General features: G+C 46.9%; 1 protein-coding gene and 1 long non-coding RNA gene across 6 annotated transcripts in view, besides 3 other annotated features; both read right to left on the reverse strand.

Annotated features, from left to right (window-relative positions):
- DGCR2 (DiGeorge syndrome critical region gene 2) overlaps positions 1-27,094 on the reverse strand; it is an 86,127-nt gene that overhangs the window by 45,281 nt on the left and 13,752 nt on the right. For 2 of the 5 annotated variants that reach the window (NM_001184781.2, NM_005137.3), the window contains exon 2: positions 7,802-7,924. The exons of the other annotated variants lie outside the window; for them this stretch is intronic. In NM_001184781.2, coding sequence (NP_001171710.1) covers positions 7,802-7,924 — 123 coding nt within the window. The remainder of the gene's footprint in view (positions 1-7,801; positions 7,925-27,094) is intronic. 5 annotated transcript variants of the gene reach the window in all.
- Positions 4,476-4,977: an enhancer, noted in NCBI's record as "H3K4me1 hESC enhancer chr22:19073555-19074056 (GRCh37/hg19 assembly coordinates)". NCBI's record gives its function as "activates a minimal SCP1, AML or CMV promoter by ChIP-STARR-seq in primed H9 embryonic stem cells {active_cell/tissue: H9 hESC(primed)}" and the evidence as "EXISTENCE:reporter gene assay evidence [ECO:0000049][PMID:30033119]".
- Positions 4,978-5,477: an enhancer, noted in NCBI's record as "H3K4me1 hESC enhancer chr22:19074057-19074556 (GRCh37/hg19 assembly coordinates)". NCBI's record gives its function as "activates a minimal SCP1, AML or CMV promoter by ChIP-STARR-seq in primed H9 embryonic stem cells {active_cell/tissue: H9 hESC(primed)}" and the evidence as "EXISTENCE:reporter gene assay evidence [ECO:0000049][PMID:30033119]".
- On the reverse strand, positions 13,121-18,618 carry LOC124905078 (uncharacterized). The gene is made up of 2 exons (XR_007068002.1): positions 18,579-18,618; positions 13,121-17,600 (listed from the first exon to the last, which is right to left on the reverse strand). It is a non-coding gene; the product is annotated as an uncharacterized LOC124905078 (long non-coding RNA).
- Positions 24,568-25,068: an enhancer, noted in NCBI's record as "H3K4me1 hESC enhancer chr22:19093647-19094147 (GRCh37/hg19 assembly coordinates)". NCBI's record gives its function as "activates a minimal SCP1, AML or CMV promoter by ChIP-STARR-seq in naive H9 embryonic stem cells {active_cell/tissue: H9 hESC(naive)}" and the evidence as "EXISTENCE:reporter gene assay evidence [ECO:0000049][PMID:30033119]".

Here is a 27,094-nt window from a genome sequence, read left to right on the forward strand (position 1 = left end):
TTAAGATGTCTGACAAAACCAAGAGTTGGAGAGGATGTGGATGGCTTGGAATTTTATCTGCTCCTTTACACCCACTCTGGAAAAACTGTACAAACAATTCTGCAAGGATTTTTCCAGAGTTTCCCTAAATAGAAATCCTGGATCACAGAAAATAAGAATGTTCAGCTTTGCAAGATAATGTCTCTATTCCAGAGTGGGTGTAAAGAAGCACATAAAATTTCCACACTATCCATATCTTCTCCAACATTTTAATTTTTGCCAGTCTAAGCATCTGTAAAGTGGTATCTCACTGTATGTAGTCTTAGAATACTAACGAGGTTAAATTTAAATGTCTTTTTCTATGTTTAATCACCATCTACGAAATGCTTTATAGGAGTTCTTTATATACACTGAATTAGAATCCTTATCCTTTACAGGCTGTAAGTGTTGCAAATATCTTCTCTCTACTCTAGCTTGTCTTTTCACAGTCTTTACTGGTGTTTTTTGGGGTTTTTTTTGTTTTTTTTTTTTTGAAACAGGGTCTCACTCTGATGTCCAGTGGTGTAATCTCGGCTCACTGCAGCCTTGACCTCAGGGACTCAGGTGATTCTTCCCACCTTAGCCTACTGAGAAGCTGGGACTACAAGTGTGTACCACCACATCTGGCTAATTATTTCTTTTTTTTTTTTTTTTTTTTTTTCATAGAGACAGGATTTCACCACGTTGCCCTGGCTGGTCTGGAACTCTTGGGCTCTGGCAATCTGCCCACCTTGGTCTCCCAAAGTGCTGGGATTCCTGGCATAAGCACCTGGCCTATTGGTGTCTTTCAATAAACGAGAGATCTTAATTTTAATCTAGCAAATTCAGTCATTTTTATTTTAGAGTGAATATTTTATGTGATTAAGAAAAAGGTGGCCAGAGGCTAGGTATGGTGGCTCATGCACCTGTAATCCCAGCACTTTGGGAAGCCGAGGCAGGCAGATCGCCTGAGATCAGGGGTTCGAGCCCAGCCCGGCCAACATGGCAAAACCCCGTCTCTACTAAAAATACAAAAATTAGACGAGCGTGGTGGCAGATGCCTGTAATCCCAGCTACTCGGGAGGCTGAGGCAGGAGAATCACTTGAACCCAGGAGGTGGAGGTTGCAGTGAGCTGAGATCGCACCACTGCACTCCAGCCTCCAGCCTGGGTGACAGAGCGAAACTCCATCTCCAAAAAAAAACAGAAAAAAAAAGAAAGAAAGAAAGAAAAGAAAAAGGTGGCTGGGCGCAGTGGCTCATGCCCCCGTAATCCAGGCACTCTGGGAAGCCGAAGCAGGCAGACTGCTTAAACTCGTGAGTTAGAGACCAGCCTGGGCAACGTGGCGAAACACCGATTCTACGAAAACATGCAATTAGCCGGGCATGGTGGTGCACGCTTGTAGTCCTAGCTACTCCGGAGACTGAGGTAGGAGGATGGCTTGAGCCCAGGAGGCGGAGGTTGCAGTGATACAAGAACGTGTCACTGCACTCCAGCCTGGGTGACAGAGCCAGACCTTGTCTCAAAAAAAAAAAAAAAGAAAAAGAAAAAGGCACACTTCCCTATCAAGGTCTTAAAGATAGTCTCCTATAATTTATCCAAAACTGAATTTCCTGTATGTTGTGAGTTAGGGATCCAACTGCATCCTTCTCCGACTGTCACAGCACTGTGTTTGAAGAGTCTGCCCTTTGCACAGCGATATGTAATTCCACCTCTGGAATTCAAGCTTCTTAGGTCTGTTTCTGACAGCTTCTGTCTCACTGGCCAATTTGGATTTCCCTGAGCCAATTTTGAAGTAAATCTTGATACGGGCAAGGCAAGTGCTCCCTCCTCATTCCTCTTCTTCACAACGACCTCTCAATACTACGACTTAATTCTTCTCAACATTTTAGAATCGACTTATCGCATTTCACATAAAACTCACGGAGCTTTAAAGATGCACTGAATCCACAGAACAATATGAGTTTTTAAAAGATTCGGTCTTCCTAGGCAAGAACATTCTGCCACTATTTACTTGTCTTCTTTAATGTCTCTTAATAAAACTGCAAATTTTTCTCCCTCAAAAATTTTACACATCTTTTGTTAATTCTCGTTTATATCAAAGATGGTTCCCCTCTCCCTCTCCCTCTCCCCCCTCCCCCTCCCCCTCTCCCTCTCCCCACGGTCTCCCTCTCCCTCTCTTTCCACGGTCTCCCTCTGATGCCGAGCTGAAGCTGGACTGTACTGCTGCCATCTCGGCTCACTGCAACCTCCCTGCCTGATTCTCCTGCCTCAGCCTGCCGAGTGCCTGCGATTGCAGGCGCGCGCCGCCATGCCTGACTGGTTTTCATATTTTTTTTGGTGGAGACGGGGTTTTGCTGTGTTGGCCGGGCTAGTCTCCAGCTCCTAACCTTGAGTGATCCGCCAGCCTCGGCCTCCCGAGGTGCCGGGATTGCAGACGGAGTCTCGTTCACTCAGTGCTCAATGTTGCCCAGGCCGAAGTGCAGTGGCGTGATCTCGGCTCGCTACAACCTCCACCTCCCAGCCGCCTGCCTTGGCCTCCCAAAGTGCCGAGATTGCAGCCTCTGCCCGGCCACCACCCCGTCTGGGAAGTGAGGAGTGTCTCTGCCTGGCCGCCCGTCATCTGGGATGTGAGGAGCCCCTCTGACCGGCCGCCCAGTCTGGGAAGTGAGGAGCGCCTCTTCCCTGTCGCCATCCCATCTAGGAAGTGAGGAGTGTCTCTGCCCGGCCGCCCATCATCTGAGATATGGGGAGCGCCTCTGCCCCGCCGCCCCGTCTGGGATGTGAAGAGCACCTCTGCCCGGCCACGACCCCGTCTGGGAGGTGAGGAGCGTCTCCGCCGGGCCACCCCGTCTGAGAAGTGAGGAGCCCCTCCGCCCGGCAGCCGCCCCGTCTGAGAAGTGAGGGGCCCCTTTGCCCGGGAGCCGCCCCGTCTGAGAAGTGAGGAGCCCCTCCGCCCGGCAGCCGCCCCGTCTGAGAAGTGAGGAGCCCCTCCGCCCGGCAGCCACCCCGTCTGAGAAGTGAGGAGCCCCTCCGCCCGGCAGCCGCCCCGTCTGGGAAGTGAGGAGCGTCTCCGCCCGGCAGCCACCCCATCCGGGAGGGAGGTGGGGGTCAGCCCCCGCCCGGCCAGCTGCCCCGTCCGGGAGGGAGGTGGGGGGTCAGCCCCCGCCCGGCCAGCCGCCCCGTCCGGGAGGGAGGTGGGGGGTCAGCCCCCGCCCGGCCAGCCGCCCCGTCCGGGAAGGAGGTGGGGGGGCGCCTCCGCCCGGCCAGCCGCCCCGTCCGGGAGGTGGGGGGCGCCTCTGCCCAGCCGCCCCTTCTGGGAAGTGAGGAGCCCCTCTGCCCGGCCACCACCCCATCTGGGAGGTGTACCCAACAGCTCATTGAGAACGGGCCATGATGACAATGGTGGTTTTGTGGAATAGAAAAGGGGGAAACGTGGGGAAAAGATTGAGAAATCGGATGGTTGCTGTGTCTGTGCAGAAAGAAGTAGACATGGGAGACTTTTCATTTTGTTCTGTACTAAGAAAAATTCTCCTGCCTTGGAAAAAAAAAAAAAAACAAAGATGGTTCCACTGGGAAAACAGAAACCATGCTAAGGGATTTCTAACACGAAGGGTTTAATACAGAAAATAGGTGCTTTCAAAACAACTGGCAAGGCTATATAGTGTGAGCAAAAGTAAAGTGGGCTAACTCCCCATCTAATTCCCACAGTCATTGTCAAGAGTCAGGAAGCTACTACTGCCATCTATAGGTTAGGAAACTGCAAAAATCTGCTGCCAATACTGCAGCTGCTCTGCAGCCCTGAGACAGCTGGCCAGTGGGGGAAGGCAGAAGCCACTGCAAAAAGTCACCTCAAAAATCTAAGCCCATGCACACCCCCAACATACACTATGGCCTGAGGAAGAAAGGTTCCACCTCCCTTCCACTTGCCACATTTCCCAAGACACATGTCATAGGGCAAATGACACACAGAAGCCTGCTGCCAGGTGGTTCTGAGTGCTACTGCTCCAGCATTCCAGCCTCTGAAACCCACGGACAAGCCCAGAAGGGAGTGAGTGGGAAGGTACTGAATGCCCAGGCTGTACCTAGCATGTCATTTCCCTCTTTTCAAAAACATGCAGAAATTACTGATCTACTGTTACATCTTTCCCCTTTTTTTGTCCCTTTGGTTTTACATTTTTTATACTCCTTTTTAGCAGGCTTTTAGCAGGGCAATGAAGTAACCCCATAAGGTAACTCCAGAAGTCCTGAAGTCTAGTTCAAAAGCAACTTGACTGAGAATGGCCCAGGGCTTCCCTAGGGGTTACTGAAACTCTCCTCATACAAAGGAAGGTCACAGCTTTTGAGCAAGGGTGGTTATTAGCTAACTCTCTACTTCCCCCACAAACACAAAGAGTTTCCTTTTTTGAGAGGGGAGGAGGTTGGGGGAAGGGAGAGTGTCAATGAGGACTTGACTCTATATCTATGATTTTTTAAAAATTTCTTTTAAAATAAACTAGAAAAAAAATCACAAGATTTAGCAGTCATTAATTCAAGGAAGTAAGAAAATACGTATTACACATTCTTTGTACATTTTTATGACTTAATTTGCTCAGAATCTCAACTTTAAGAACAATTAGAAATCAACCTGCTTGGCCGGGCACAGTGACTCACGCCTGTAATCCCAGCACTTTGGGAGGCCGAGGAGAGCGGATCACAAGGTCAGGAGATCGAGACGATCCTGACTAGCACGGTGAAACCCTGTCTCTACTAAAAATACAAAAAAAATTAGCCGGGTGTGGTAGCAGGCGCCTGTAATCCCAGCTACTCAGGAGGCTGAGGCAGGAGAATGGCATGAACCCGGGAGGCAGAGCTTGCAGTGAGCCCAGATGGCGCCACTGCACTCCAGCCTGGGCAACAAAGCGAGACTCCATCTCAAATAAAAAAAAAAGAAATCAATCTGCTCACCCTCCAGACTGTGACACAGCACTATACAAGGACAATCATAGGACCGTGAGTCAAGGAGAAGCAGGGTGAGCCTTGTCAGGGCAGTGGCCTCCTCAGCCCACCCAGAACACTCCTAGGCCCTACCAAGCCTCAGGGGGCTTGCACACACGGGTCCTCATTGTCATGCCTTCACTGCTCAGCCCTGGTGCAGGCCACCACTCGTAACTTTCGGCTTCTATGAGAGATTTTATTTTTCTGTCTAGGGAAAACATATGGCAACCAATGTAACTTCAAGCCAATACTCAAGTGCAAAGTTGATGCCTGCTCCATGCCAGGCCATGTGGTCAAGAGAAATAAAACCTACTCCTTGCCTTCAACAAGTCTTCAGAGCGTGGAAAGATGAACAAGGTGGCAACTATGAGTGTGGATACCACTATGTTCAGCGTGTGTAACAGGACAGTTATTACAAACAACTACAAAAGCAAAGCCAAATGGCACTTTGAGAACAACAAATAAACTCTGCTTCCATTTGAAAGCAAACCAAGAATCATCTGGTTCTCTCTTCAGGAATTCTCCAAGAGGCTGGATATAAGGTCTCACTCTATGAGTCAGACAAGGGGAGGCTCCCACTCATAACCACATGGTCGTCCCCAGGCTGACCAACCAGGGAACTTCAGCAGCCCAAGCACTGGGAAGCCCACTGGGAATCCACTTTCTCTGGGCTTTGACCCCAAAGACCCACCAGAGAGGCTCCCAGACAAAGGACTGTCCCAGAGGCTCCTGACCGGGCCAACACCATCCAAACCCTCATTTGGAAAGGCAAACACCTCTACCAGAGACACGCATAATCTGATGAAGAATGGGCTCCAGAGATGATCAGGAGGGGCCCCCTCTAAACAGCATTCTTTTCTTTTTTTTTGAAACAGAATCTCACTCTGTCGCCCAGGCTGGAGCGCACTGGCATGATCTCAGCTCACTGCAACCTCTACCTCCTGGATTCAAGTGATTCTCCTGCCTCAGCTGGGATTACAGGTGCTCGCCACCACGCCCAGCTAATTTTTGTATTTTTAGTAGAGATGAGATTTCACGATGTCAGCCAGACTGGTCTGAAACTCCTGACCTTAAGTGATCCTGCCTGCCTCGGCCTCCAAAAGTGTTGGGATTATAAGGCATGAGCCACTGCACCTGGCTTTTTTTTTTTTTTTTTTGCCTTTGAGACAGAGTCTTGTTCTGCAGCCCAGGATAAAGTGCAGTGGCACAATCTTGACTCACTGCAATCTCCTCCTCCCAGGTTCAAGCAATTCTTGTGCCTCAGCCTCCTGAGTAGCTGGGATTATAGGTGTGCAGCACCACACCTGGCCAATTTTTGTATTTTTATTAGAAACGGGGTTTCACTATGTTGGCCAAGCTGATCTCAAACTCCTGGCCTAAAGCGATCCACCCACCTCAGCCTCCCAAAGTGTTGGGTTACAGGTGTGAGCCTTCGCACCCTGCCTAAACAGCATTCTTTACAGGCAAATACAATCTGACCAGACCATCTCTGCTTCTTATTTTGGAACCCCCCCTCAAAGAACTACCACAAGTTCAAATGTCACCTAATCCCCTACCTAATACCCTGGTTGGAATGAATTGGTTTTCCTTCAGTACTAAGCCTATAGGAATTACAGCACACCTTTCATGTCCTAGGCCAAGTCCCACTAAGGAAGGAGAAAGGTCTCTGCCCCCTGGGAACTCATGGTCTGGATGGAAAAATCAAGCCTGGGCACCAGGAATGGTGAGAATTACCAATGGTTCTGATGCTATAAGAGAGGGACGAATGGGGGACTGGAAGAAGCCAATCTATAAAATGAGGGACCACAGACATTCTCCCACTGGGGTAACATCTGAGCTACACCTTGAAGGATGGTAAGGCTTGTCTATGCAGAAACAGAACAAGAGAATTCCAGGAAAACATAAAGGAAGCACACATCTACAAGATTATTAATGGGGTGGGCACAAGAAACAGCCCAGCTGAGCCACTGAAGGGGAAGTAGTGATAAATCAGGTTGGCAAAGCAGACCTAAACCAGCTTGTGAAGGAGTCTGCATGTCTGGCCAAAGCATTTAAGCCTGTGATTCTCAAGCTGGGGTAAGACACACTTTCCCCTTAGTGGCTTTATCAGCACCACCTAGTCTTAAAAACGAATTCATGGATACATGTATATGTATGTCTCACACATTCACACACACATGCACAAGTACTCACTACACCTCCCACCCAACCAAAGTTGAGAACAACGGATCCAGTGAACATTGTTATTCATGGGGTGCCCTGTATTCCTTGAGGGTGCTGAGGCAGAAACCAGGTGAAGAACCTGGTTCTCCGATTTAGCCTTTTTGTGGCCTTTCCATACATCTTTAGGAGACTACATAATGGCCAGGAGAGAACCTGTGAGTGCAAAGTTCCAGGTGAATGAGTGAGCAGGAGGGGAGGGCGTGCCAAGGCCAGTCTAAAAGAGCACATTCAGGATCAAGAGGCACCCACATCCAGAGCCAGGATGGGGATAAGGTCAGAGAGGTGGCCAAGGTGCCACCCCTCAGGAGGGGTTCACACTCAAGATCATCCAAGTCCAGGGAGTGCAGCGCCTCCTTAAGTGGAGCCTCCTGGGCATCTCACGGGCCTCCCCACAGCCCTGCCATCTTGCAAGTTCTGGGATCTGCCTAGGTTGGGCACTTATTTTTTAAAAAGACAGAAAGACAGAGAGAGAGGAAGGGGTCGGCTCAAACTAACTTTCCAATGTGTTAAGACAGCACACACCTCCACCCCTCACAAGAGGCACAGTCACCCAGCTACAACAAAGAGACAAGGTGGTGTGTACCCCGCCTACTCAACACACTCACCTGGACAGTTGGCTTCGTCGCTCTCATCCTCGCAAGTCGCCCAGCCGTCACACTGCCAGGGGAGGGGGATGCACTGGATGGTGCCGCTGCGACACGCAAACTGCCCAGGGTTGCACCGCAGCTCTGTGGGACCAAAGGGTGAGAGGCCATTGAGGAAGTGGCAGTAGGCCAGCAAACCATAGCCCATGGGCTGGATCAATCTCTTCCCATTTGTTTGTTTGTTTGTTTTTGAGACAGAGTCTCATTCTGTCACCCAGGCTGGAGTGCCAGTGGTGCAGTCTCAGCTCACTGCAACCTTCACCTTCCGTGTTCAAGCAATTCTTGTCCCTCAGCCTCCTGAGTAGCTGGAATTACAAGCATGTGTCATCATGCCTAGCTAATTTTTATATTTTTAGTAGAGACGGGGTTTTGCCATGTTGGCCAGGCTGGTCTTGAACTCCTGGCCTCAAGTGATCTGCCTGCCTCGGCCTCCCGAAGTGCCAGGATTACAGGCATGTACCACTGTGCCTGGCCCCCATCTGTTTTTAAAATCAGGTTTTATCAGAACACAGCCACAAATATGTATTGTCTATGGCTGCTTTCAAGCTACAGCAGCCGAGCTGAGTAGCTGCAGAAAAGACTATATGGCCTGCAAAGCTGAAAACATTTAATGCCTGGCCCTTTACGAACCTATTACCTAGAGATAAAAACTGTAACACTTAAGATGAAAAGTACGCTGCAGAACATTAACAGGTTAGATTTTGTAGTAGAAAAGATTAGTGACTTGAAGATATAATAATAGAAACACTCTGAACTAAAACACAGAATGAAAAAATACCAGGAAAAAATGTGCAAATCATCAGTAAGCTGTGGAACAACCTCACACACCCTAATACATGGGGGAACAGACACAACATCTGAAGAAACAATGGGGAAAATTTCCCAATTTGATGAAAACTATAAACCCACAAATCCAGGTAGCTCAATGAACCACAAGCACCAGAAATACAAACAATACAATTCCAAGTCACATTGGAATTGAATTGCTTAAAATCAGCGATAAAATCCTAAAAGCAGGCAGAAAAAGAAGACATGCACAGAAAAACAAAGATCTAGATGACAGCAGATTTCTCATTAGAAACGATACAGCCTAGAAGACAGTGATGTGACATGTTAAAGTTCTGAAAGAAAAAGCTGTTGACCTACAATTATTTAAAGCAAACACACAGATACTGTATTGTGCAGTTTATAACATACACAGAAGTAAAATTTTGACAATAGTAGCACCAAAGGTGGGAAGAGAGAAACAGAAGCACACTGTTTTAAGGCTCTCAAACTACAGGTAAAGTGGTCCATCACTTGAAGGTAGTCTATGATAAGTTAATGATGAACCCGACTAAAATAACACAAGAGTTGTGGCAAGTAAGCCAACATAGAAGAGAATAAAAAATAATCCAAAAGAAGGAAAAAAAAAAGACAAACAGATGGTACAAATGAAAACAAAGGGTAATATGGTAGATTTTAATTAAACTTGCCTAATCAATAAATACGCAGAACGATCTAAACACTCCAACTGAAAGGCAGAATTTGTCATGTAGGGAAAAAATCAAGATACAACTACATATTACCTAAAACAAACTCACTTTATATAGGCATAAATAAGAGAAAATAAAAGAATAAAAAAGATATACCATGTTAACACTAATCAAAGGATAGCTGGAAGGGCAGGTACATGGCTCATTCCTGTCATCTCCATAATCCCAGCATTTTGGGAGGCTGATGCAGAAGGATCACTTGAGCCCAGGAGTTCAGGACCAGCCTGAGCAACATGGCAAAATGCCATCTCTCTAAAAATACAAAAAATTAGCCGGGTATTGGGACAAACGCCTATAGTCCCAGCTACTCGAGAGGCTGAGGTGGGAGGATCACCTGAGCCTGGAAAGTTAAGGCTGCAGTGAGCTATAATCGTGCTACTGCACTACAGCCTGGGCAACAGGAGTGAGACTCTGTCTCAAAAAAAGGCTAGCTGGAGTGTATTAATATCACACAAAGTAGACTTCAGTGCAAATATTACCAGGAATAAAGAAGGTCATTTAATAATGATAAAGGGATTGATTCAAGAGGACATAATCCTAAATGTTTATGTATCTATTAAAATTTACAAAAGAAACTTCAAAATTCATGAAACAGAAACTACTGTAACTGCTAATAGACGAATCCACAATTAAAGTCAGAGCTTTTAATAACCCTCTTGATAGAACAAGCAGATAGAAAACCAGCAAGGGCTGGGCGTGGTGGCTCATGCCTGTAATCCCAGCATTCTGGGAGGCTGAGGCAGGCAGATCACTTGAGGTCAGGAGTTCGAGACCAGCCTGGCCAACATGGTGAATGGACAGGAGTTCGAGACCAGCCTGGCCAACATGGTGAATACTAAAATACAAAAATTAGTTGGGTGTGGTGATGCACGCCTGTAATCCCAGCAACGTGGGAGGCTGAGGCAGGAGAATCGCTTGAACCTGAAAAAAAAGGAAATTACAAAAGAAGAGCAAATGAAACCCAGCAGTAAGAAATAATAAAGATGAGAGTGGACATTACTGAAATTGAAAACAGAAAAATAGAGAAAATAAGAAAAACAAAAGTTGTTTTTTTGAGATCAGTAATATTAATAAACCTCTAGACAGTCTGATCAGCAAAAAAAAATAAAGAATACAAAATACCAGGCCAGGCATGGTGGCTCACACCTGTAATCCCAACACTTTGGGAGATGATCCAGCAGATCATCTGAGGTCAGGAGTTCGAGACCAGCCTGGCCAACATGGCGAAACCCTGTCTACTAAAAATACAAAAATTAGCCAGGTGTGGTGGCACATGCCTGTGGTCCCAGCTACTCAGGAGGCTAAGGCAGGAGAATCGCTTGAACCTGGGAGGCAGAGGTTACAGGAAGCCAAGATTACACAACTGCACTGCAGCCTGGGCGACAGAACGAGACTCCATCTTAAAAAAAAAAAAATACTACTATCAGAAGAGAGATGTCATCACTGTGGATTCCAGAGAAAGTATAAAGGCTAACAGAGGAGTGAAGAATAAGGTAATAGTATGAAAAACTTTATGTCAATAAATCTGACAATTTGGATGAAATACACAAATTCTTTGAAAGATGAAATGCAAAGTTCACTCCAAAATAAATAAACAATCTGAACAGCCCTAAAAGGAATTGAATTTTTAGTTAAAAATCTTCAAAGGAAACTCCAGGCACAAATAGCTTCAATGGAAAATTCCTCCAAATATTTAAGGAAGAATTGATGTCAATTCTATACAAACTCTACTGTAAGTTCAGGTATTTAAAAATTACCATTAACAATAGTATCAAAAAATAAGAAATACTTAGGTATAAATCTAACAAAAGATGTGAAGTCCTGTACACTGAAAAATTTTCAACATTGCTGAGAAAAAACATTTTTTAAAGACCTAGGTGCAAAGGCAGCTCCCTGAAGAAAGAACAGGCCTTTCAACAGAATGGTACTGCGAAACACGGAAGAAAGAAAAATGAAGAGGAGGAGGAGGAGGAAAGAAAGGAAGAAGGAAGGAAGGAGTTCATCTACAAAATGAAGTTAAAAAAAGGAGGAGGAAGAGGAGGAAGAAAGAAGAGAAGAAGGAGGAGGAGGAGGAAGAAAGAGGAACAAAGAACAACTACTTTGATCCATTCCTTGAACCGCATAAAAAATTCAGAATAGCCAGGCCCAGTGGCTCATGCCTGTAATCCCAGCACTTTCGGAGCCTGAGGCGGGTAGATCACCTGAGGTCGGGAGCTCCGAACCAGCCTGACCAACAAGGTGAAACCCTGTCTCTACTAAAAATACAAAATTAGCCAGGCATGGTGGTGCATGCCTGTAATCCCAGCTACTCGGGAGGCTGAGGCAGGAGAATCGCTTGAATCTGGGAGGCGGAGGTTGTGGTGAGCCGAGATAGTGCCATTGCACTCCAGCCTGGGCAACAAGAGTGAAACTCCACCTCGAAAAAAAAAAAAAAAAATCAAAATCGATCATAGGCCTACAGGTGAAGCCTAAAACTATAAAACTCAAGAGAAGAAAACACAAGAAGAAAATCTTCGCACCCTTGGTTTAAGCAAATACCTTTAATATATCTACCAAAAACACAATCTATAAAAAAAATTGATAAATTGGACTTCATCAAAATTGAGAACTTTTGTTTTTCAAAAGACATGTTAAGATAATGCATAGACAAACCACACACAGAGAGAAAACATTTGCAAATCATGTATCTGATAAAGGGCTTGCTTGTAACCAGAATATATAAAGCATGCTCAAATTTCAATAAGAAAACAACCCAATTTTTTAAATGGGCATGGGCCAAGTGCAATGGCTTATACCTGTAATCCCAACACTTTAGGAGGCCAAGGTGGGAGCAACACTTGAGCCCAGGAGTTCAAAACCAGCCTGTGCAACATAACAAGACCTCATCTCTACATTACAAAAAAAAAACAAAAAAATTAGCTGGGCTTGGTGACACATGCCTGTAGTCCCAGCTACTCAGGAGGCTGAGGCAAGAGGACTGCCTAAGCCTAGGAGTTGGAGGCTGTGGTGAACTAGGATTGCAATGCTGCACTCCAGCTTAGGCAACAGCAAGACCTCCCCAACTCTAAAAAAAAATAATAAATAAAATAGGCAAAAGATCTTAATGGTCACTTAACCAAGGAAGATATATACAGATGGCTAGCAAGCACATGAAAAGATGCTCAACGTCTAGTCATTAAGGAAATGCAAATTAAAGCATGAAAAGGTGGGGCACGGCGGCCCATGCCTGTGATCCCAACACTTTGGGAGGCTGAGGTGGGTGGATCACCTGAGGTTAAGAGTTTGAGACCAGCCTGGCCAACATGATGAAACCCCATCTCTACCAAAAACGCAAAAATTAGATGGGTGCGGTGGCGGGCGCCTGTAATCCCAGCTATTCAGGAGGCTGAGGCAGAATTGCTTGAACCCAGGAGACAGAGGTTGCAGTGAGCCAAGATTGCACCACTGCACTCCAGTCTGGGCGACAGAATGAGACTCCGTCTCAACAAACAAAAACAAAAACAAAAAACCATGAAGAGAAACCACTTACTAGAATGGCTAAAATGAAAAAGAATGACCATACCAAGTGGTGGCAAGTGTGTGAAGCAACTGGAACTCTCCCAGTGAAAATGTAAATGGTACAACTTCTTTGGAAAACAATTTGACAGTTTCTTTAAAAACTGAATGTATACCTACCATATAATCTGACCATTCCATTCCTAGGTATTTAACCAAGAGAAATGAAAGCATATGTCCACACAAAGACTTGTTCATAGTACTTTTATTTGTAATATCCAAAAGCTGGAAACAAACAGTGTCTATCAAGAAGCAAATTGGTAAGTTGTGTACAGCCATACAATGGAATACTACTCAGCAATAAAAAGGAATAAGCTATTAACACATTCCGCAGCATGGATGAATCTCAAAATAATTATATTGAGTGAAGAAGCCAGTATGTACTCAAAAGAATACCTACTGTATGACAACATTTATATAAAAATCTAAAAAATGCACTTGCAGCTATCAAGACAGAAAGGGATGGGGGTGGGAGGGATTACAAAGGAGCACGAGAAAATGTTTGGGGTGACGATACGCTGTGTTTGTTATCTTGACTGTGGTGACGGTTTCACAGATTTATACATATATGAAAACTCAAATTTGGCCGTGTGCAGAGGCTCACGCCTATAATCCCAGCACTTTGGGAGGCTGAGGTGAATGGATCACCTGAGGTCGGGAGTTCGAGACCAGCCTGACCAACATGGAAAAACCCCATCTCTACTAAAAATACAAAATTAGCCAGGCGTGGTGGTGCATGCCTATAATCCCAGCTATTCAGGAGGCTGAGGCAGGAGAATCGCTTGAACTTGGGAGGCAGAGGTTGCAGTGAGTCGAAATCACGCCACTGCTCTTCAGCCTAGGCAACAAGAGCAAAATTCTGTCTCAAAAAAACAAAAAACTTGGCCAGGCGCGGTGGCTCACACCTGTAATCCCAGCACTTTGGGAGACCGAGGCAGGCAAATCATGAAGTCAGGAGATGAAGACCATCCTGGCTAACACGGTGAAACCCCGTCTCTACTGAAAATACAAAAAATTAGCCGGGCGTGGTGGCGGGCGCCTGTAGTCCCAGCTACTCGGGAGGCTGAGGCAGAAGAATGGCGTGAACCCAGGAAGCAGAGCTGGCAGTGAGCCCAGATCGCGCCACTGCCCTCCAGCCTGGGCAACAGCGCAAGACTCCGTCTCAAAAAAAAAAAAAAAAACAACTCAAATTTTACACTTTATGTATCATTTATTATAAGTCAATTATACCTCAATAAGGCTTTTTTTAACTATCATGAAATAGATTTCTGTTTAAAAAATCAGGAAACAATTTTGAGATCAAAAGATACTGACCACAAGGCTAAAAATCCAGGCACCCTGTGTTCTAGGACTAGATATGCCTGGAACTGAAGAACTAAATTGAATCATGGCCCACCTAACGTGCTTGCTTCTCTGGAAAAGACAGCCTTGGCCTACCAGATCTCACCCCCGCCATCCATACAGGAGCTAGGTCCTTTTCATAATTATAAATCCAGGGCTTGCCCCATGACTGGTACTGAAGCACTATTTGATGAGTAAATCAGCAATTGGGACATGCTCTTCTGGCCTAATGTCTGTCTTCCTCAGCCACAATTAACCATTAGACCAAGAACCTGGAACCCTCCATTCCTCCTCAGTGTATTCTAGGTCTTCAGTTTTATTAAAAATTTCTAACTTCTTATTATTTTGCCATAAAAATGGAACATGAATGGAACTGGAGGACATTATGTTAAGTGAAATAAGCCAGGCACAGAAAGACAAACTTCACATGTTCTCATTCATATGTGGGAGCTTAAAAAAAGTTAAACTCATGGAGCTAGAGAGTGGAGTAGTGGTTACCAGAGGCTGGGAAAGGCAGAGGTGAGAAAAAGAGGTTGGTTAATAGGTACAAAAACACAGTTAACTATAGTTAATAATGGTTTATTCTATACTTCAAAATAACTAAATGAGTAGAATCAGAATGTTCCTAACACAAGAAAAGTTACAAATGCTTGAAGTGACAGATACCCCAATTACCATGATTTGATCATTACACATTCTATGCTTGTATCAAAATATCATATATACCCCACACATGTAACTACTGTGTCCATAAAGTTAACAAAAAATTTTTTTAAAGACTAATGCAGGAAAAAGGAAAAAAAAAGCCTTCTAATTTCCCAAACTATACTGAGAAAGAGTTCATTCACTGAATAGAGATTTAGCAACAGAACATTCTTTTTTATTTTTTAGAGATGGGGTCTTACTATGTTGCCCAGGCCAGAGTGCAGTGGTGGCTATTCACAGGCACAATCATGGTGCCTCAAAGTCAAATGACTCTCCCACCTCAGACTACAGGCCTGAGCTACCCCGCCCAGCAGAATATTTTAACAGTGTCCATTCTATTAAAAAAAAAAACAAAAAAAAAAAACACCCTATGGTGTTGTTCAAAGTAAATTCATAGCTCATGTCACAGCCCTCCAAATCTACGCCCTAACATATCATACCCTAGGCCCAGAAAAACTTCAATGCACTACCTTAAATTATTTTTGGAAATAGTTGAGTAAGAAGTAATAAGTAACAACACTGGGGGTTTTCTTTCTCCATACCCCTATATCCTCCAAAAGCAAACGTCAGCCAAGTCTTCTCTGGCAAACAAGGCCCCTTCCCCCATGCACCACATCCACCTTGCCTTGCCTTGGCTGCTTCTAAGTAGTACTTGTCACTCCTGGCTTCCTATATATCAGTATATAGTAAACCTATATATATATATACATATATAGATATGTAAGTGAAACAGCCAGGTGCAGTGGCTCACGCCTGTAATCCCAGCACTTTGGGAAGCCGAGGCGGGTGGATCACAAGGTCAGGAGTTCAAGACCAGCCTGGCCAAGATGTTGAAACCTCGTCTCTACTAAAAACACAAAAATTAGCCAGGTGTGGTGCGGGTGCCTGTAATCCCAGCTACTCTGGAGGCTGAGGCAGAGAACTGCTCGAATCCGGGAGGCGGAAGCTGCAGTAAGCTGAGATTGCACCACTGCACTCCAGCCTGGGCGACAGAGCAAGGCTCTGTCTCGAAAAAAAAAGTAAAGCTTCCTGAGGGCACAGGTCATGTCTGCACTGTTCACTCCTGTGTTCCCAGGGCATAGCCGACCACACTTAGTGTCCATAACTCAAACACACTTGAAGAATACTTCTTCTCTCCATACTCTATGCATGTCTGGGAAAGGCTCCAAAGGCCCAAACAGCCTTCCTCTTTGAGAAGTGCCCATCTGGCCACTCCATGAGTGCCACCTGCCCTGCCCCAGGCTGGGCCAATGAGAAGAGTCTGTAAGGTGATGGGAGTGGGAAGATCCAGGCTAGCCAGACTGAGACAGTCACTTGAAGTTCTGTGCACCCTGAGGCAGAAAGAGGTAAGGGCTAAGACCAGAAGGGCTGAGAAAGGGGAGCAACACCCTTCACAGTCCCATGACCCCAAGGATGGCTGTGCTTCCTCCCTGGGCTCAGGGAAAAGTTCCTCCTACAGCTACTCCTTACAACCAGACAGCTCTGGCTAAAATAGCCCCCACACGGATTTTCTGTCCTTTTCTTTCTTTCTCCAGACTTTTAAAAAAAAAATAGTTATCAAAAGAGGAAAAATAAGCTATCAGCAGAATGACTGTCTTGCTACATCCTGAACACAGCTGGGCTCCCCACTGCTGGGCCTTAGTCCATGGCATCCCCTCTCCCCAGGTCTCAAGACACACCACTCTCCAGGAACCCCTCCCCAAACTCCCCTAACTGAGTCGGCCTTCTTGGCCTAGCCCTGTTTTCCTAAGCAGCCCTTCTCTGTTCTTTTCTTCACACCCTGAGTAGGGTCAGCACACTTTTCCTTCAAGGGCCAGATGATAAGTATTTCCAGGTGGCCAGCTTCACAGGCCACCCTCTCTCTGCCACAGCTGCTCAACCCTGCTGCCGTGGAGCTAAAGCAGCTGCAGATAATATGGGAATGCGTGGGCATAGGCATGTCCAATAAAGCTTTAGCGAAAAACAAAAAAAAACAGTGGCCAGTTGCAGGTATAGTTTGCCAAACCCTGTTCTCGAGTATACATATAGGGACATTTTACATACATGTAAATGTTTTGTTTTTTGAGACAGGGTCTCGCTCTGTCACCCAGGCTGGAATGCAGCGGCATGACCACAGATTACTGCAGCGTAGACACCCTGGGCTCCAGTGATCCTCTTGCCCCAGACTCCCAAGTAGCTGGGACTACAGGCACATACCACCATACTCAGCTAATTTTTTATTTTTTATTTTTAGTAAAGACAAGGTCTTGCTATGTTGCCCAGGCTGGTCTCGAACTCCTGAGCTCAAGCAATCTTCTCACCTTATGCTCTCAAAGTTTTGGGATTACAGGCATGAGCCACTGTGTCTGGCTGAGGGACACATCTTTATTGCTGCCCCATACTCCATGTCACCAACACCCCACACATGGAGGCATGCACTAAATGCCTAATGAACTGCACAGCTCAAAATCTTCCCATATTCTGCTAGCAGACAATGAAGTGTCAGAAGTTCTCCAATAGGGAAGGTTTTTCTCCCTTCTTGATCCATCTGTCAAGCCGGGTCTATTCTGGAAGCAACTGAAGATGTGGATCACTCATTAACACTGGCACCTACTCTGTGCCAGGCAGTTCTCCAGGTGACAGGGCTGTGGTAATGAACAAAGAAAGTCAATTCCAGGACATGACAGAGCTTGCATCCAGCACAGCACACCAGATGGTGACTCCAACAGGTCAAACTGGCATTGCTTTAGCTGGACATCAACACTGCGTTTCCACTGACTACGCGTGGTGACTCACGCCTGTTACCCCAACACTTTGGGAGGCCAAGGCAGGTAGATTACTTAAGCCCAGGAGTTCGAGACCAGCCTGGCCAACATGGTGAAATCCCAGCTCTACTAAAAATACAAAACATAAGCCAGATGTGGTGGTGTGCATGCCTGTAGTCCCAGCTACTCAGGAGGCTGAGGTGGGAGAATCACCTCAGCCTGAGAAGTCAAGACTGCAGTGAGTCACGATCACACCACTGTACTCCAACCTGTCTCAAAAAAACAAAACACCACCACCAACAAAAAATTGCCTGTCCTTTCTCAATATCCTCCACAGTCTCTCTGTAAAGCAGTAAGTGCAACTTCTGCCACATACAAAGTTGCTTAAAAACAGTCACCCTTGGCCAGGCGTGGTGGCTCACGCCTGTAATCCCAGCACTTTGGGAGGCCAAGGCACGTGGATCACAAGGTCAGGAGTTCAAGACCAGCCTGGCCAAGATGGTGAAACCTTGACTCTACTAAAAATACAAAAAAATTAGCTGGGCATGGTGGCACATGTCTGTAATCCCAGCTACTCTGGAGGCTGAGGCAGAGAATTTCTTAAACCCAGGAGGCAGAGGTTGCAGTGAGCCGAGATTGTACCACTGCACTCCAGCCTGGACGACAGAGCAAGATTCTGTCTTTAAAAAAAAAAAAGTCACCCTTGACCCAGTATGGTGGCTCATGCCTATAATCCCAGCACTTTGGGAGGCCAAGGTAGGAGGATCACTTGAGGCTAGGAGTTTGAGACCAGCCTGGACAAGGCGAAACCCTGTCCCTACTAAAATACAAACATTAGCTGGACGTGGTGGCACACACCTGTAATCCCAGCTACTCGGAAGGCTGAGACACAAGAATCGCTTGAACCGGGGAGGCGAGGTTGCAGTGAGCCAAGATCACGCTACTGCACTCCAGCCTGTACAACAGAACAAGACTCTGTCTCAAAAAAAAGAAAAAGAAAGTCACCCCTTTTCACTGATGGCTTTACAAGGTCCTGTCCCAGGCCTTCTGGTGATGACTGTCACCTTGCTGTAGCATGGCAGAGGCAGGCCAGCTCCTCTTAGCCAATGGATTGTTGACACTTTATGAAACAATCCATGCCCACAACATACCAGCCACAGTACCAACATAAGGACAGCCCCATCCTGGCTAACATGGTGAAACCCCGTCTCTACTAAAAACACAAAAAAATTAGCCGGACGTGGTGGTGGGTGCCTGTGGTCCCAGCTACTCGGGAGGCTGAGGCAGGAGAATCGCTTGAATCCGGGAGACGGAGGTTGCAGTGAGCCAAGATCGTGCCACTGCACTCCAGCCTGGGCGACAGAGCGAGACTCCGTTTAAAAAAAAAAAAAAACCTGCCACATCAGCAGTTCCTAGACTTCTTCATTCTAAGACACCTTAATACACTTAAAATTATTGAAGACCCCAAAGAGCTTTTATTTATGTGGGTTATATCTGTCAATATTTACTGTATCAGAAATTAAAACTGAGAAATTTGGCCAGACATAGTGGTTCACGTCTGTAACCCCAGCACTTTGGGAGGCCAAGGTGGTCGGAACACTTGAGGTCAGGAGTTCAAGACCAGCCTGGCCAACATGATGAAACCCTGTATCTACCAAAAAATACAAAAATCAGCCGGGCGTGGTGGCACGCTCCTGTAGTCCCAGCTACTCGGGAGGCTGAAGTGGGAGAACCACTTGAACCTCGGAGGTGGATGGTCCTTTGCAGTGAGCCGAGACTGCGCCATTGTACTCCAGCCTGGGCATCACAGCGAAACCCTGTCTCAAAAAAAACACTTGAGAATTTTTTGAACACAAGAATCTGAAGCACCTGCTCAAAGGTTTTAACCTTTTAATAGAATTATCAAATGCTCACGATTCCACTCATAGGCATGTACTCAAGAGAATTAAAAGCAGAGACTCAAACAGATGCTGGCACACCACTGTTCCCAACAGCATTATTCATACTAGCCAAGAGGCAGAGACAACCCAAGTGGCCATGACAGATGGGAGGATAAATAAATGTGGTATAGCTCTACAAAAGAATATTATTCCACCATAAAAACAGGAGGCATGTAGTACCCCATGGGCAACCAAGTAATGGTGTATTGTGTCGCTTCAAAAGTAAATGTGGGGCCTGGCATGGTGGCTCATGCCTGTAATCCCAGCACTTTGGGAGGCCGAGGTGGGCGGATCACCTGAGGTCAAGAGTTCAAGACCACCCTGGCCAACACGGTGAAACCCCGTCTCTACCAAAAGTACAAAAGTTAGCTGGGCGTGGTGGCGCACACCTGTAGTTCCAACTACTTGGGAGGCTGAGGCACAAGAATCACTTGAACCAGGGAGATGGAGGTTGCAGTGAGCCAAGGTCACGCCATTGCACTCCAGCCTGGGCAACAGGAGCAAAACTGTTAAAAAAAAAAAAAAAAAAAGTGAATGTGGGCCAGGCATGGTGGCTCACCACACTCGTCAGTAATCCTAGAACTTTGGGAGGCCGAGGCAGGTGGATTACTTGAGGCCAGGAGCTCAAGGTCAGCCTAGCCAACATAGTGAAACTCCGTGTCTACTAAAAATACAAAAATTAGCTGGGTATGGTGGCACACGCCTGTAATCCCAGCTACTTGGGAGGCTGAGGCACAAGAATTGTTTGAACCTGGGAAGCAGAGGTTGCAGTGAGCCGAGATCGCATCACTATACTCCAGCCTGGGTGAAAGAGTGAGACAAAAAATAAAAAACAAAAGTGAATGTGATCAGCCATCAGCCATAAAAAGGAAGAAAATTCTGACACATGCTACAACATGAATGAACCTGGACAACATTATGCTAAGTGAAAGAAGACAGACACAAAAGAGGCAAATAGTATATGATTTCACTCATAAGAAGTACCTACAGTAGTCAATTTAATAAGGATGGAAAGTAGAATGGTGGTTGCCAAGGACTAGGGGTGAGGAGAATAGGGAGTATTGTCTAATGGGTATAGTTTCTGTTTGGATTGACAAAAAAGTTCTGGAAGTGGGTAATGGTGCTCGTTCCATAACATTCTGCATGTTCTTAGCACTGCTGAATTAACCGTACACTTAAAAATGGTTAAAATGGGGCCGGGCGTGGTGGCTCACGCCTGTAATCCCAGCACTTTGGGAGGCTGAGGTGGGTGGATCATGAGGTCAGGCGATCAAGACCATCCTGGCTAACACGGTGAAATCCCATCTCTACTAAAAATACAAAAAATTAGCCGGGCATGGTGGCGGGCACCTGTAGTCCCAGCTACTCAGGAGGCTGAGGCAGGAGAATGGCGTGAACCTGGGAGGTGGAGCTTGCAGTGAGCCAAGACTGCACCACTGTACTCCAGCCTGGGTGACAGAGCGAGACTCCGTCTCAAAAAAAAAAAGGTTAAAATGGGGCTGGGCATGGTGGCTAATGCCTGTAATCGCAGAACTTTGGGAGGCTGAGACAGGAAGATCGCTTGAAGCCAGGAGTTTGAGACCACCCCAGACAACATAGTGAGACCTCATCTCCACAAAAAATAGAAAAATTTGCCAGACACGGTGGCATGCACCTATGGTCCTAGCTACTCCGGAGGCTGAGATAGGAGGATCACTTGAGCCCAGGAGGTCAGGGCTGCAGTGAGTTATGATTTGATTGCACCACTGCACTCTAGCCTTGACAACAGAGTGAGACCCTGTCTCTAAAAAAGATAATATGGTAAATTTTATGTTACATATATCTTACCACAATTTAAAAAAGAAATGAAATACTAACACATGCTATAACATGGATGAACTGCGAAAACATAATGCTAAGTGAAAGAAGCCAGACACAAAGGACAACATATTGTATGATTCCATTAGTATGAAATATCTAGAATGGGCAAATCTATACAGACAGAAATTGCCAAAGGCTGTGGGCAGGGGAATTGGGGAGTTACTGTTTAAAAAGTATAGAGTTACCGTTTGGGATGATAAAAAAAAAAAAAAGTTCTGGAAATGGGTAGTGGTGCTGGCTGCACAACATTCTGAATGTTCTTAATGCCACTGAATTGTGTACTTAAAACTGGTAAATTGTATGTGTATTTTACCACAATAAAAAAAGTTCTTTTTTTTTTTTTTTTTTTTTTTTTTTTTTTTGAGCCGGAGTCTCGCTCTGTCACCCAGGCTGGAGTGCAGTGGCAAGATCTCGGCTTACTGCAAGCTCCGCCTCCCGGGTTCATGCCCTTCTCCTGCCTCAGCCTCCCGAGTAGCTGAGATTAGGCGCGCACCATCACGCCCGGCTAATTTTTTGTATTTTTAGTGGAGACAGGGTTTCACTGTGTTAGCCAGGATGGTCTTGATCTCCTGACCTCGTGATCCACCTGCCTCGGCCTCCTAAAGTGTTGGGATTACAGGCGTGAGCCACCGTGCCCGGCCAAAAAAATTCTTAAAAAAAAAAAAAAAAAAAAAAAAGGCCAGGTGCGGTGGCTCATGCCTATAATCCCAGCACTTTGAGAAGCCAAGGTGGGAGGGTCACTTGAGTCCAAGAATTCAAGACCAGCCTGGGCAACATAGCCAGACCCTGACTCTACAAATAAAATAAAATAAAAATTTTATTTTTTATTTTATTATGAGGTGAGAGTACCTCTTGAACCCAGGAGTTCAAGGTTACAGTGAGCTATGACCCAGCCACTGCAATCCATCCTGGGCAACACAGTGAGGCACTGTTCTTTCAAAAGAGAGAGAGAAAAAAAGAGAGAATCCCAAGCATACATCCCATTAGCTGTCAGAGCAATGATGTCATCACATATCAAATAGTGTCTGGAAATGCTACCTTATGCTTGTGAGGATGAGAGAAAGGCAAATGACACCTCAGTATTATCATGAAAACAGTTTTGACCTCACGGAGCCCCTAGAAGGGTCAGGGAACCCCCAGAGACCCCTGGGCACACTTGGAGAGCTACTGCTTTGGGCTATGCAACGCCCAGGAATTAGTGGATTCATGCCCTGTAGAAACCCACGAGTCTCTGCAATACAAATTCTTTCTCTAGATTCAATTTCTCCTTTGTCAGCAAGCCTTAGCCTTGTTTCAAGGCTGTCTCAAACTGAGCTGTCTCAAATTACTGTGTGAAATTTAGTATGCTGCATAAATTGTTTAGAATTGATTTCTCTTCAACATTTGCCCACAAAGAACAAGAGGGAGACAGAGTACTAGCAGAAGCACACATGTCCACAGTTACATCACTAAGAAAATCAAAACATTTCCAGCAAAGAAATGCAGGAGAAATTCCAGCCCATCTGCTCGCACTACTCACAGCCCACTAAGATAGGTCTCCACCAGAGCAGTCTGAGACCCATCAGACACAGACTCCCACACCCGGGGTAGGGGACACCCATGCCCTGCTGGAGTGCCCAGAACAGAAGGTTCCAGCATCCCTGGCAGGCCTGCTCACACCTGGCAGTAAAGCCTTACTGCACATTCTGTCTTGGAAAGAGCTGGCAGCTGCTTCCCAGTGGGGCTTTCCCACAGGTCATTTCACCTTCCATACAAGTTGCTACTAGGAAAGGGAGATTTGTCCAGCACACTTCAAAGCAGCAGCAGCAGCAGAGGGGAGAAGGTTTGGAAGCCAAGGGCTGGCTGGGCTATTGTAACAGGCGACCACGCATCTCCAGGAGACCAGAGGTGTGGATGCTGGGTTCTGCCCTGGGCCAGCCATCTCTTCTCCAGATGCCCTCAAGAAGGGACAGAGGGCCGGGCACGGTGGCTCATGCCTGTAATCCCAGCACTTTGAGAGGCTAAGGCGGGTGGATCACCGGAGGCCAGGAATTCAAGACCAGCCTGGACAGCATGGCAAAGCCCCATCTCTACTAAAAATACAAAAATTAGCTGGGCGTGGTGGCGCACACCTGTAGTCTCAGCTACTTGGGAGGCTGAGGTGGGGAGAATTGCTTGAACCTGGGAGGCAGAGGTTGCAGTGAGCCAAGATCATACAACTGCACTCCAGCCTGGGTGACAGCATGAGACTCCATCTCAAAAACTAAAAAAATAGGGAGGACAGAGACCACTGTTGATAGCACAACTAAAAGACAAAACAGAGGGCATATTGCTCGGTGACCTTCTAAATGGAGGGGTCACCTCTGTCCTGAGGCAAGAGTGAATAATAAGGGCCTTGAATGGGGCCTCAGAGATGGCCAGCATCTGAGCCACCAGGGGCCATGGGCAGGCCTCTGGCAAGCACCCATTCTGAACAGGTGCTGCCCAGTGGGGAAGGGAGCGATGCACGCTCTGGAAGGCACACTGTACTCCGGGGCCCCAGAGGGACTTCGGGACCAGATAGCTTCATGGGATGTGCTATAACTCCAGAAAGGGACGCGGCTGGCGATGGAGGAGTGCATCATCAGAACACCAACCTGCGTCAGACAGAGAGCAGACCTGGGAGGGCAGAGCTAGGAAGTGAGGAAAGGCAGGACCTGGCATTCCAAACAGTGCACAGACCATCCCAGAACCAACTGTGATCACATCACAAACTCCCTGCCTTCTCTACAGTGCTCAAATGCCATCTGCCCTTTTATGGAGTCCAAGGGCCACCTCTAACCTTCCCGCAAAGCCCCACATCCAGGTTCTTGGGGGTCCCGGCTCACCAGTCCCTGCAGCTCTCCCCTGAAGCCCGTCTAGCCCCTTCCCCATCGCTGCCACTGCCCCGTAGCACCAGCAGGCCAGCACACAACCTCCCCACCCCTGTAGCTTCCTGGAACCACGCAGGGAGACTGGCTTGGAAAGACGCCCCAGAGATCCGTTGCGAGACAAACAGCAGGCTTCAGCTCCTGGCCCGTGCAACCCTGCTCAGCCTCGCCAGGCTGCTTCCTCCATCTGTAAAGCATGGAGGTGACCATCCTGCCCTGCCTATCCCTCCTGACTTCCACGGAGGTGATGAGGCCCAAAAGAGAAAATTACTCCAACAATGCTCAGCTGCTGAAGTTTCACATATGCCACCCTTAGGAACAATCCTGGGAGGTCCTCTGCAGAGATAAATGCTCTGAGAGGGACCCACAAGGGCAAAGAGAGGATGGGAGGCAGGAACCATGGCCAGGGGTTCTGTGCAGTTTGACCTGCCACTGCGTCTCAGCAGCAGGGGGCAGTGAAGACTGCTGATACCTGGAGGCCTGAGCATCCTCTGTACTGGCAGCCACCAGGCTACAGCACCAACGATGCCAGCATCTGAACCTCAAGCCACAAGGAGCCCAGAGGCCAGCCGGCTCCTCACCCATGAGGGCCCAGAGTTCAAACGGGAACAAGACATGTGTGGCTCATGGAAAATGATGAGATTGGAAGTTTCATTAGCAAAATGTGAAGGAAGGCCCGAAGCTGTTCTATGTATTGAAACCCCCAACTAGTCCAGCCAGCTAGCTTCTCAGAGGGGCTGACCCGCCTACTCAGTGTCCCACATCAAGTTGGCAGCAGCAGAATGGGCATCAGAGGTCAGGCTGTGGGCTCTTTGACCCAAATCCCCATCCCTGAAGCCAGCAGAGCCCCTGGGTGGGGCTCTGCATTCTGACTCCCTAGAGGACCAGGTCCAAACTTTCCAGTTCTGAGCCATTTCCTTCACCGAGACAGCAGTCAGCAGAGCCTCTGGGGGCTCACTGCACAAAGCCCAGGGATACCAGAGCCCCACCACCAGTCTGGTGCAGAGCCAAGGATGTACCAACATATTGTACTTTTTTTCCCTACCAGTGGCCAGTTACTAGAACAAAATATTTTACACCTGCAAACACTCCTGCTGTGGTTTTGAAATATGCCTGCAACTTCTTTGATATGGCTCCCTAAATGGCAGTAGCTCCCCAAACACATAACCACCAAACCCATTTCCAAACAGCCCCCGGGGCAAGTGGAATCTCTGAGTGAAGGCTCCACCCTCAGTCACTCCTCCCCTGGACCCTGGAGCTCCTGACTCCCCATCACCACCACTGGAGACAGGTGGCCAGCTCTCCTGCAACAGTGGAGAGGGAGTAGGGTTGCCAAGCGCTAGGGGAGTGCCAGCCACTTTCTCCCACAGCCCAAGGGGTCACAACACTGACACTGGGGAACACCACACAAGAACAAAGGGACAAGGCCTATGCTTCAGCATTTATTTCTCATAAATAACAAGCATTTTCTACCTCCAGGAGAAGAAGTGATCACCACCTGCTACCATCTATCTGTAGATGCTGTCCAACCAAAACACTGGCTCAGCTGCTCTGCCCTGTGGCTTCTCCTTAGGCAGATGTTTGGGAAAGAAGGCCCTGTTTAAAATAAGTTATCCTAGAAAAGAAGGGAAGGTCCTAAGAAAAAGGAAGGGATCATATAAGATGAAAGAAGAGAAAGGCAGGTCCACCAAGCATACCTATTCCATGAGTGACACTTTCAAGAAAAGAACAGCAACTTGCAATCAGTCCTTATTTCATGGGGGTTCGGGCAGGAGGGGCTACATACTTGGGAATAAGACCAGGGCAGGAGGGTGGGACAGAACTGGAGCGAGAGCTATCTCGCATCTGATGTAAACATCAGCCAGCAGTTTCATCCAACACTCGCACCACATTTCGATCATAGCCACAGGATAGCGCAGCCAATTTCTCTAAGAGAAAGAACAGCTGTAGTCAAATCAGATTCCTGAATGCTCATTTTGCATGTGCCAGGCAGTATATCAAGTGCTTAGAATACATTATTATGAATCCTTAAGACAACTCATTTGCTCCTTCCATGAACACCGCCGTGTACCTCCTAGGGGCCAGGTGTTGTACAGGACACAAGTGAGAAGAGCAGGAGGAGAACCATAAGGTGTCTGCCCCCACGAAGCTCAGATTTTACTAGGGAAGGAGAAGAACTTCGTAACCTTGGGGTAGGCAAGGATTTATTAGACAAAAACAGAAAGCATGACCATAACAAGAAAAAATGATAAATCAGACTTCTTTAAAATTAAAAAAGTCTTTGATCAAAAGCTTAGTAAAGATACACAGACCACACTGAGCACAGTAGCTCTCACTTGTAATCCCAACACTTTGGAAAGCTGAGACAGGAGGATCACTTGAGCCCAGGAGTTGGAGACCAGCTTGGGCAACACAGGGATCCAGTCTCTACAAAAATTAAAATAAAAATATTAGCCACATATGATGGTGAACACCTGTGGTCCCAGCTACTCGGTGAGGGTGAGGTGGCAGGATCACTTGAGCCAGGGAGGTCAAGGCTGCAGTGAGCTGTGATCCCACCACTGTACTCCAGCCTGGGCAACAGAGAATTTATCTAAAAAAAAAAAAAAAAAAAAAAAAAAAAAAAAAAAGATGCACAGGCCAACAGAACAGAATAGAATACAGATCTCAGAAATAGACCTACACA

The sequence above is a fragment of the Homo sapiens genome, chromosome 22 (genome assembly GCF_000001405.40).
Source record: "Homo sapiens chromosome 22, GRCh38.p14 Primary Assembly".
Classification (NCBI taxonomy): Eukaryota; Metazoa; Chordata; class Mammalia; order Primates; family Hominidae; genus Homo; species Homo sapiens.